General features: G+C 33.4%; 1 long non-coding RNA gene across 5 annotated transcripts in view; it reads right to left on the reverse strand.

The window, feature by feature from the left end:
• LOC105374497 (uncharacterized) overlaps positions 1 to 12,509 on the reverse strand; it is a 291,527-nt gene that overhangs the window by 154,303 nt on the left and 124,715 nt on the right. For all 5 annotated transcript variants that reach the window (XR_001739421.3, XR_939995.2, XR_939994.2 and 2 more), the window contains exon 2: positions 4,129 to 4,285. This is a non-coding gene — a long non-coding RNA (uncharacterized LOC105374497). The remainder of the gene's footprint in view (positions 1 to 4,128; positions 4,286 to 12,509) is intronic.

Here is a 12,509-nt window from a genome sequence, read left to right on the forward strand (position 1 = left end):
AATTCCATCCATTAATTTCTTCTACTCAAAGCTAATCTTGTGACTAGTTTCTTTCTCTTTCTTTTTCTTTCTTTCCTTCTTTCTTTCCTTCTTTCTTTCTGTCTCTCTTCCTCTCTCTCTCTCTTTCTTTCTCTTTTTTTTTTGAGACTGAGTCTCACTTTGTCACCCAGGCTCTAGTTCAGCGGCACAATCATAGCTCACTGCAATCTTGAACTCCTGGGTTCAACCCGTCCTGCCACCTTAGCCTCACGAGTAGCTAGGACTACAGCAGTATGACAGCACTCCTGTTTATTGTTACTTTTTACATTTCTGCAGAGACAGGGTCTTGCTTTGTCGCCCAGGCTACTAGTTTCTTTCTTGTGTATCCTCAGAATAAATGTTTTGATGCTTATACATTTGTATAGGTGTGTATCTGTTTATATTCATTTTTTAACACAAATGATAGCATACCATACATACTATTCTATACTTTTCTTAATGCAGTTAGCATTATATCTTCAATATTTTTCTATTTTAGCATGTATCAACCTGCTTCAGGGCTTTTAATGACTGCTTGATTTTTAATTTTATAAATAACTTAAATAATTTGTATATTTACTTTTCAATTAAAAATGCAAAACACAAAAAGAAACATGAACGTATGGCTAATATGCAAGAAAAAAGTAGTATAAGGAAACTATCCCCGAGGGGGCCAGATGTTGGACTTACTAGGAAAATATTTTAATTCAGTCATTATTAAACTTTTATTATATAAAAGAATGTAGGTAAACTATGTCTAAAGAATTGAAGGGAAGTATAAGAAGGATATATCATCAAATGGAGGATATTGCTCAAGAGATAGATATTACAAAAGGTAACCAAAGAGAAAATATTATATTGGAAAATACAATAACTGTAATTAAGAAATCACTTAAGGAGCTTAACAGCAGCTTTGTTAAAATTTGTTCAGCATTTTTGCATCTATTTTTAGTTCTTCCTTATAAGGAATAATGGTCTGTGTTTCAGGTAACATTTTTGTCTGGTTTGGATTACAAGGAAATACTCACCTATAGAACGAGTGGGGAAGTAGTCCCCCCTTCTCTTTTTTGAAAGAGTTTGTGAGGAATTGGTATAGGTTATTTTTAAGTGTTTTATAGAATTTATTTGTGAAGACTTCTAGGTATGGGTTTTTCTTTGTGAGTTTTTTGATATGTAATTCCCTTCCTCCCTCCTTCCCATCTGTCCTCCCTTCCTCCCTTCCTCCCTTCCTTCCCTTCTTCCCTCCTTCCTTCCTTCCTAAAGGTCAATTTATATTTTTCTGTGGCTTCTTAGGTCAATTTCAGTTGTTTGTGTCCTTGTAGAAATGGTCCATTTCATCTAAGCTGTATCATTTATTGGCATACAATTATTAACAGTATTCTTTTCAATCAATTTTATTTTTGTAAGGTGAGTAGTTATGTCGTTTATTTTATTTCTAATTTTAGTAATCTGAGTTTTCTCTTTTCACCTTGATCACTCTGTCTAAAGATTTGTCAATTTTGTTAACATTTGGAAAGAACTAACACTTGGTTCTTTTCGTTTTTTTTCTATTGCTTTTCTATTCTCTTTTTCATTTGTTTCCACTGTATTTTCTACTATTTTCTTCATTCTGGTTGCTTTGGATTTACTCTCCTTTATTTCAGTGCCCTAAGATGGAAAGCTATGTTATTTATTTGAGCTCTTTCTTCTTTGTTAATATAGGTAACTACATGTGCAATTTTTTTTCTAAGCTCTGCTTTAGCTTCTTCCCATAAGTTTTAGTGTGTTGCATTTTATTTTGCATTCATCTCAAACTATTTTGTAATTTGCCTTTTATGGCTTTTTTGAGCCATTTATTATTTAAAAGTTTGTTGATTAACTTTTCAGATTTGTTTCTCAAATTTCTTTCCAATATAAATTTCTAATTTTCTTGCATTGTGCTTAGAGAACATATTTTGTATTATTTCAATTCTATACATGTATTAAGATTTTTTAAATGACCTAGTATATGTTCTATGGTGGAGAATGTTCCATATGTACTTGAAAAGAATGTGCATTCTGCTGTTTTTGGAGCGATGTTCTATAAATGACTGTTAGGTCTAGTTGGCTTATAATGTTATTTAAATCTTCTACTTATTGTTAATCTTCTGCTTAGTTGATGTATCCGATATTTCAAGTGAGGCCTTAAAGTATCTAACTGTTATTATTGAATTGCCCATTTCTCCATTTTTGTCATATTTTTCTTCATGCATTTGATGTTCTATTGTTTGGTGCAAGTAAGTCTATAATTTTGAATCTCCCTGATTAATGTTTAATTATAAATGTTGCTCTTTATTTCCATAATATTTTAATGTCTATGTTATGGTATTTCATATAGCCACTCTAGTTTCATAATTGTTATTTGCATGACACATTTTTTCAATTCTTTTGCTTTCAATCTATTTGCATTTTTGAATCTCAACTGTGTCTATTGTAGACAGCACATAGTTGGAGCTTTTATTTTTAATTATATCTTATTCTCTCTGACTTCTGATTAGAAGCTATTATCCATTGCAATTTAATGTTTTTATGGATATAGTTGGATTTAAGCCTGAAATTTTACTTTTTGTTTCTATATGACTTCCGTCAGATTTTCTTTCTCGATCTCCTTTATTGCTTTCTTGCATTAAGTGAATATTTATTTCATAATCTGATGTCTTACTTATTTTAATTTTTTTTACTGATTTTTTGAGTTGGGAGCTGAAGGAAGTGGAAGCCCTGTGTTCTTGACTGCCCTCCCCTGGACTGGAATTTGTCACTCTGCTTTAGAAGGTGGAGGGAGGCAGTGGATTGCAGTTCATATGCCAAGACTTTTATTGTCCTTACTGAGTATTAGTAGATTTTCAATTGTTTGTGATAGCAGAAAACTGGAGGCCATGTAGGAGCCTATCACTAGTGAATGGATAAGCAAAATATTATTGATGCGTGCTGTGGGATACAATTCGGTTATTAGAATTAACTGATTGTATTCTCAGCAATATGGATAAATCTTGAAAATACTGCCAATGGAAATAAAAACAGATTAAGATTGATGGCAAAATGGCATTCACTTAAATTTAAAAATATTCATAAAATAATATCATGTATTTTGCAAAGATGTACGAATATCTAAGGAGACATCTATTTAACACAGTAGAGTAGAAGTATATGGGAGAAGAAAGAAGAAGGGGATCTGAAAGAAGTGAGGAAGAAAAACTCCAGCGATAATGTGTTATGAACTGAGATGTAGAATGGACTATTTGTACCTGAATTCCATCCCTCAAAAAAGAGCAACAACAACAAAAATAAACCAACTAAGTTATATTGAAAATTGCTATTTGTTACATGCGACATCAGATATATCATCCATTTATTCCACAAATAGTTTTCAGCACCAGCTGTGTGTTCCACAGTTCTAAATACTTAGAACACGGTTGAATATCATATGTGATGTCCCAGCTTGCATGATATATAGTCTCCTGGAGGTGACAGACAATAAGCAAGCACATACCTAACTAAATAAGCTTACTACCTGATTGCTAATGTAGTAAAGCTATGATATTGCAAGTGCTGTAGAGAAAAATAAAACAGAGGATGGCTCACGTCTGTAATCCCAGCACTTTGGGAGGCTGAGGTGGGCAGATCACTTGAGGACAGGAGTTCGAGACCAGCCTAGCCAACATGGTGAAACCCCGTCTCTACTAAAAATACAAAAATTAGCCAGGCATGGTGGTGCACACCTGTAATCCCAGCTACTCGGGAGGCTGAAGCACAAGAATCCCTTGAACCTGGGAGGTGGAGGTTTCAGTGAGTCAAGATCACACCACTGCACTCCAGCCTGGGTGATAAAGTGAGGCTGTCTCAAAAAACAAATGAACAAACAAACAAACAAAACAGAATGAAAGGATCAAGAGTAATGGGAGAAGGACTCTTTTAAGTCTTTGCCAGGCAAAGTGTGCCACTGGGACCATCAATATAGGCATCACCTGGGAATTTGACCCCACTTTTCCCAGATTTACTGAAAGAAACTGCATATTAAATAAAAACCCAGGTGATTCACACACATGTTAAAGTTTGAGATGTATTGCTTTAAACAAAGTGGTCAGGAAGTACCTTTGAGGAGTGGATACTTGAGGCCAGAATGTCATGCATGGATGGTGAGGGATGGGTCCTGGGGAGGCAAAACCTTTCCAGCAGAGAAGAGGGAGTTCTACTGAGGTCTCCTAGGGAGTGTTGGCTCATTTAGAGAAGAGTATGACCGCCAGTTTGCCTAGAACAGAAAAGAAAGGAAAAGAGTGTTAATATATAATTCAAGTCTTGTTACTGCAAATACGTGTGTGTGTGTAGATAAATTTTCCAAATAAATTGCTTGTTTGTATATAATCATTTAATTTATTATACTCTTTATTGTATTTCAGTACAATAGTTCTGGCCATGTGGTGGTTACTCAAACATATGCTTCGTTCAGTTATACAGCTATTCTTATTAAAAAATAAAATTGAATTATGGTTTATTGCATGCATAATTCAGCACAATTCTTAATTATTTTTATTTCATCAATACTTCTAAAGGAATAAGTATGGGGAAAAAAGGCATGGTTCTGTGGTGTTTGTTAACTACAGTCAACAAAGGAGGCAGAATCTAAACCCAAGACTTCTGAATCCTTTCCAGGAATAGATGATTACTTCTTTCACGTGGTGTTTTTTTATTATAAATACCTAATGCAGTTGCTTACTTTTTAACAGCTATATAATTATTAAGAGGAAGTAGCTGGAACTATGGAAAATATTAAACCAAACCCCAGAACTAATAAATGATAAATATTACTGGCTTCAAGATGAGCCAGCCATGCAAAAAATCATTAAAATTATTAAGTACTAGATGTTGATAACAAAATACTAGCTGGCTCCATGAAAGCTTGTCATATGCCTTCTAAATACATAATGAAGTAATTCTTCTTTTGTCCTTATTAAATTATTTTAACCATTTTAATTTTGACACATTTATAAACATACATCCACACAAATATGTACACGCATATATAAGTTTGTGTGTGGTGTTGCCATTTCTTACAACTAAGTTAAACTTTTCTTTCTTATTTTTTCTCACCCTTTCCTTTCTCTCTCATATATATACACACACACAGTTACATATGTATATGTATGAGTATATATATACATAATCACATGCTGAAACTACCACTTCATCCTCTTCCTGCACACCCATGGGCTCCAACTCAGTGGTAAGCAGCCCTTCTTTTTCCTCATGGTGTGAGTCATGTGTTTATAGGCTTGGTGGGTCTCAACATCATCTTGTGTGACCCCTCATGGTGAAAGTTTGCAGCATAATCCACTGAATCCACATCACCACCTCAACACATCACCTAATATAACTATGCTTCCTCTTCCAAAGTCTTCAGTATGTCATCCAAGATTAGCTCCAAGATCAGCTCCAAGGTCAGCTCCAAGATAGCAGAGAAGGGTAAGGTTGAACCAGAGCAAATCTTGAGGAAGAGGTCATTGACCTGAGCCTTTTGACACCTCAGCTCCCACCCACCCTCATCCCTCTGCCTAGACCTGGCCATCTACTGGGCCATCTTACCACATGCATCTTAGAAATGCAGCCTGTCACTCAACTCAGGTATTATTTTTGATTTGCTTAAATTTTCACTTTATAGTCACACACAAAGACTCATTTCAGAACTTGAATACATAAGTAAATGCAGTGTGTATCTTACATTGTCTTTTATTTTGGTATCTATAGAAGTTTTTATTTTAATAGTCAACTGTACCATTTTTTCTTTAATGGTCAGGACTTTTTTTGTCCTATTAAGAAATTATATTTTTTCTTAGATTTTTTCCTGGAAATCAGTTTTCATTATAATGGAATCATGTTTGAATGTCCCAGGAACCTTTTGTGTTTAACTCAAACCTCTTCTAATCACTTCTCAAAGATTCACACCTGATTTTCATCTCCGAATTTTTTTCTGTAAGAATTTTACTTGACATATAATTCACAGACATATATTTTGTTTTTCCTAGTAGACACACAATCTAGAATTTTATGGTTGGTGTGAACTCTTTTGGTGTGTAATCTTTATTCCTTTTAATGTTTTTATTTACATTTTTAATGACCAAATCTCAAATATTCAATGAATTTTTGTATATGTAACCATCATCAAGATCAAGATATAGTGTATTTCAAGCTTGCCTTGGGCTCCTTCCCAGGTGATACGCATCAGTACTACTCTAAACTTCTATCATCATCAATTAATTTTGCCTGTTTTTGAAATTCATATAAGTAGAAACAAAGAATACTCACTTCTGGACTTGCACATTTTTTTCCACATGAATTTTTTTAGATTAATTTATGTTGTTGCATGTAGCAGCAATTTTTTAAATTACTTTGGTGGTATTATGTGGTAAAAATATACCAAAAATTATATGTCTATTCTTACGTGAAGGGAAACTGGATGTTTTGAAATTTTGAGTTATTATAAGTAAAGGTTCCGTGCAAATTTTTGTATATGCCTTTTGGTGGTCATGCACACATTATTTGGATGTACACATAGCAGGAGTGTACATAGTACCCTTACTATGTGTACATAGAAAAGTTGGATAGGGCATATACTTTAGTAAGTAATATACAATTTTCTGAAGTAGTTGTACAAATTTATACTCCCTCCAAGTATGGTATTTATAGTTGCTCAACCTATTTAAGATCACCTGAAAATTGCTACCTTGTTCATTACAATTTTGGTAGCTGTGTAGTGTTATTTGATTTGGATTTAATTTGCATATCTATTATGACTAATATCTATCTTTTAATGTGTTCATTGGCATCTAGGAATCTATTTTTTTAAAATACTTCACTATTTATGCTGATTTTTTATAGTTTCTTGTCTCTTCCTTGAATACAAGTCATTCAGCAAATAGATTGAAAATATTCTTCCAATATGTTTGCATTTTCATTCTTTTATTGCTCTACTCAAATGAACAGAAGCTTTTAGTTTTAATAAACTCAACTATTTTATTTTTCTCTGATAACCAGGATTTTTATGTACTAATTGGGAATTTTTTCTAATATGCAGAAAAGATAAATTTTTGAGGTGATAGATATCCTAAATACTCTAATTTGATCATTACACATTATATACAGGTATCAAAATATCACATGAACTCCCAAAATATAGAAAACTATTATACATAAATAAAAAAGAAATCACTGTCAAAGGCAAGATTATGAAAACATATGTAGATGTATTTTTCTAGTCTTTATGTTTTCCCTTTCATATTTAGGTTTATAACCACTTGAAACTTATTTTTTGTATGGTGTAACAGAGGGAATCAAGGGTCACTTTTTGTTTCCCTCAGATATCCAATTAATTCAGCACAGCTTATCAAAAAAGACAATTATTTTCCCCACTGATTTATAGGCGTGCCTTTGTTGCATATCAGATGACTGTATATAACATTCAATTCTGTTTCATTGGTCACATACATTGACCTATATTACCCTGTCTTCAAAACTGTAGCTACATGGTAAATCTTGGTAGGCAGTAGTTTAAAACCTTCAATTATTATTCTTAAGAATAGCTATTCTATTCTGTATTCTGTATGCTTCTATATAAACATAAAATATGTCTGCTTATCAGTTTTCCTCAAAAAATCTGCTTGGGTTTTGATATGAATAAATTTATATGATTCAATCTAAAAATATTTGAGAAATAAACAAATTCAGAAAAATATAACTGATCAAAACTAACCTGAGAAATTACAGAGAATCTACAGCTCAAATCTAATATAAACACTGATTAACAGTTAAAAATGTCACATAAATACAAATACATTCCCACACAGTTTTGAAGATGAGTTTTACTAATCAATTCCACTCTTATATTTCAGAATGTAGAAAAAAAGATTTTTTTAAACTTATTTAATTATGCTAGCATAACCTTGATACCAAAATTCAAAAAGAACAGTAAATAAAAAATTACAGGACAAATTTACTTATGGATATAAATGCACATACCCTTACCAAAATCTTAATGAGTCTGAGAAAGCAATGTATAAAATTATAGCATTACCTACATTGAGTTTATTTAGGAAGTTCAAGGCTGTTTTGCATAAAAGTCCAATATATTTATCATTTTAATAATTAAAGTAGAATAGTGTTATAATCACATTAATACATACACAAAGAGCATATGATAAAATTCAACATCAGTTTATGGTTCAAAAATTAAAATAAAGAAGATTCTTTTCAGTTTAAGGAGACATCCTTAACCTGGTAAAGCTACAAAAGTATTTTTAAAATTAAAACTATATTGTGATATTGAAAGTAATATCTCCAAGATTAGAAATAAAGATGTGTACCTATTATAATCATTTTAATTCACCATTAGTGAAGAACCAAATGACTAATGCGGGAAAGATAAATATACACATAAATAAAATAAAAGGATTAGGAAGTAAGAAATTAAACTCATTATTTGTGGATTATATGATTATCTACCTAGAGAATCATACTGACTCAATCAATCTATGTGTGTATTTAGGTATGTATCTATGTTATTAGAATACAAAATTTCTGGATAAAAAAATCAATGAACAAAATTCAATTGCATTTCAAAATATCAGGAAAAAAACCTTTTAAATGGAATAAAATAGATTCTTTTTACTATAACATAAAATTCTAAAGTATTTAGAAATAAATCTAAGAACAGGAAAAGACCTTGGGGAGACAATTGTAAAATGCTTGCCAGTTTTTAAAATCAAAATAGCAAGATTTACTGTGTATCTTCACTGTAATATTCAATACCATAGACACATCAGTATACTTCAAGTGGAAAATTTAAAGGAATATGAACATATGAATATTCAATATAATTCAAATGTAATTGCCAAGAGTTTTTTTTTTTCCTCCCTCCTTGACAAAGTAATTCTAAAAGCATCGGGGAATAAGAGATCTATTAAAAAGCAAGGCACTCTCAAAACTCTCGGTGAAGAAATTACCTTAAGAGGCATTAAGAATTATTATAAAGCTAAAATAATTAAGACATTGTACAATGGGGACAGAGTTAAAGAAACTAATAGAATACAGTAGAGATTTTAGTCCTAGATGTATCCATACACAGCAGTTTAATTTATGACAGTTAGAAAATTTAATGAGAAAAGCAGTTTTCAAATAAATGATGCTGAGCCAATTAGCCATTCATATTAAAAAATCGAAATTGTATTTTCCTTTGTCTCATTTTCAAACCATCATTTCTACGTGGAATACAGATATATAAACTTTAGAATATAATATAGAATGCTATCTTTAGGATGTCATGGTAAGAAAAGATTTCCTGAATTGAACTCAAACAGAAAGCATAACCAAAAAAGTATATATTGATAAATTTGGGTACATTAAAATGAAAAAATATTTTGTGTACCAAAAATGTTATTAAGGTAACAAAAATGGAAGCTACAAACATAATAGACTATATATTCCATGCCTATAACAAATAATGTTTTTTATCTACAATATATAAAGAAACATGAATCAATAAAAACAAACAATGAGGCCAGACGCGGTGGCTCATGCCTGTAATCCCAGCACTTTGGGAGGCCAAGGCGGGCGGATCACGAGGTCAGGAGATCGAGAACATCCTGGCTAACACAGTGAAACCCCGTCTCTACTAAAAATACAAAAAATTAGCCGGGTGTGGTGGTGGGCGCCTGTAGTCCCAGCTACTCAGGAGGCTGAGGCAGAAGAATGGCGTGAACCTGGGAGGCGGAGCTTGCAGTGAGCCGAGATCCCGCCACTGCACTCCAGCCTAAGCGACAGAGTGAGACTCCGTCTCAGAAAAAAAAAAAAAAAAAAAAAAAAAAAGAAAATGGAAATATTACAGGAAAGAGAGTGCATGTGCCAAAAAATATTTAATCTTATTGTAATTATGTAAATAACCATAAAAGTACAGTTAGATGCTTTTTACTAAAGACAAAACATTATGTTTAAAAGTTTTAAATTATTACCAATTGTTGATAGAGTATGAAAAACATGATAAATATTCTTGGACATTTAAATTGGTATGTTTAATTGAAAAGCAATTTAACATTTAACTTTTTTTTTTTTTTTTTTTTTTTTGAGACAGAGTCTCACTCTGTTGCCCAGGCTGGAGTGCAGTGATGCGACCTCGGCTCACTGCAACCTCCGCCTCCCAGGTTCAAGCGATCTTCCTGCCTTTGCTTCCCGAGTGGCTGGAATTACAGGCACCTGTCGCACGCCCAGCTAATTGTTTGTATTTTTTAGTAGATACTGGGTTTCACCATGTTGGCCAGGCTAATCTCAAACTCCTGACTTCAGGTGATCTGCCCGCCTCAGCCTCCTAAAGTGCCGGGATTACAGGCGTGAGCCACCGCGCCCGACCTTAAGGTATCTTCTAAAGTTAACCATTCATATGTTGAATTATGCTATTTTTTCACCATTCTGAAACTCTTGCACACTTTACTAAGAGAAATGGACAAGAATGCATAAAATGAAACCTTGCTTACAACAGCAAAACAAAATTAAACAAAAGAATAAACAGACAAAAGACCAAATAAATAACACTGTTATGCACTGACATAAATTGAGAAAAGCCTAATGCCGAATGAAAGAAGGTATCATAATTGATATAATATGACTCCATTTATATGTTAAAAAACAGATAAAATTATATAATATTCCAAGGATTCACGTAAATGTAGCAAAAGTGTTAAAAGGCAACATTCAAAGCAGTTATAGAATCTGAGAAAAGGGGAGGATCAAACAGGGGCAGGCCACAAGGGTGTTTTCGTATTTTGCTACTATTGAACTTCCTGGATTGGGTGGTGTTTATACATAAAATTGTTCTTTAAACTTTACATATCTATTGCATATATTACTTTAGAGTTAGTGTCTTTTCACACTCATATCCATGCACAAAACATTATAAAAATAACGATATACTAAAATATCTTTTAGAAAGTTGGTATGTCTCAAGAGGAACTTACCAATTAGCGGGACTCACAGTGAAATGATCATACAGGGATTGGTAAATTTCCTCAAATATCAATTTCTGCTTGTCTTTTTCTAATGTCAGATATTTTTCCAGAGGAAAATCCATTCAATGTATAGTTTAATTAAGGCAGGAGTACAGGGTCTGGAGGCAGGGAACCTAAGGCCAATTCATGCTGACTTCTTAGGACTTCTTAGAACTAAATCAAAAAGAAAACCTCAACTTTCCACGCCCACATAACCAAAGGACCAGTGTTTACTCCCTTTGCAATCCCCGACCCCTTTTCTGCATAGCAGATAAAAAATTGAAAGCACCTCTGATTAGTCACCTCCCACAACCAATCAGACTGGTCAGGAGCCTAGTCTTCATTTGCACAGGAGTATAACTTTGTAACTTCACTTCAGCCTCTCATGGGTCACCTTCCGCAACCAGACTGGTAGTGAGCCACTCCTTCATTTGCATAAGGTGTAAACCAAGTAACCAACAGGAAACCTGTAGAGGGCGTTTAAATACCAGAAAATTCTGTAACCAGGGCTGGTGAGCTACTTCCTGGAGCTCATTCCCACTCTGTGGAGGCTACTTTCATTTCAATAAATGTCCGCTTTTGTTGCTTCATATTTTCATTGCTTTGTTTGTGCATTATGTCCAATTCTTTGTTCAAAACTCCAGGAACCTGGACGACTCATAGTCAAGACCCTCCACCGGTAACGCAATGTCTTAAGCCCAGTTGGCAATAGTACTCTAAATGCTGAGTGAGAAAATTGGAGTTGAGAAAACAACTTCCCAGCTGAGTCTCTCCTTTATCAGTGCACCACTGAGCCTTAATTCAGTGTCTCTCTGATTTAAATCTCCCAATGAGTAAATCCCAGTAATTACTTTTTATTGTGGTAAAAAAGCATATAACACAGTTTACTTTCTCAGCCATTTTTAAATGTAAGGTTCGGTAGTGTTAAGTATATTTCCATTGTTGTGAAACAGATCTCCAGAACTGTTTCATCATGCAAAACTGAAACTCTATAGCCATTCAACAACAACTTCCCCAGTTTTTCCCTCTTCCCAGCCATTGGTAACCACTGTTCTACTTTATGTTTCTATGAATTTGACTATTTTAGATTCTACTTTAGATATAAGTGGGATCATATAGTATTTGTCTTATTTGGCTTACTTGTCCCATAATTATTTTAGATGTTTGACTTTTTAAAATTAAACTCTTCATTTTGAGATACTTATAAATTCACATTCAGTTGTAAAAATAATAAAGAGAGAGCCTGTGCCCTTTGCCGACTTACCCTCAATGGTAACAACTTTCAAAACTCTAGTCAATATCACAGCCAGGATATTGGCATCAACACCTTCAAGATACAGAATATTTCCAGCACCACAAGCATCCCATGTGTTGCCCTTTTATTACCACACCCACTTTCCTCACACCCACACCTGTCCCTTAGCTCTTGTCAACAATGAATCTAGT

The sequence above is a fragment of the Homo sapiens genome, chromosome 2 (genome assembly GCF_000001405.40).
Source record: "Homo sapiens chromosome 2, GRCh38.p14 Primary Assembly".
Taxonomy (NCBI): domain Eukaryota; kingdom Metazoa; phylum Chordata; class Mammalia; order Primates; family Hominidae; genus Homo; species Homo sapiens.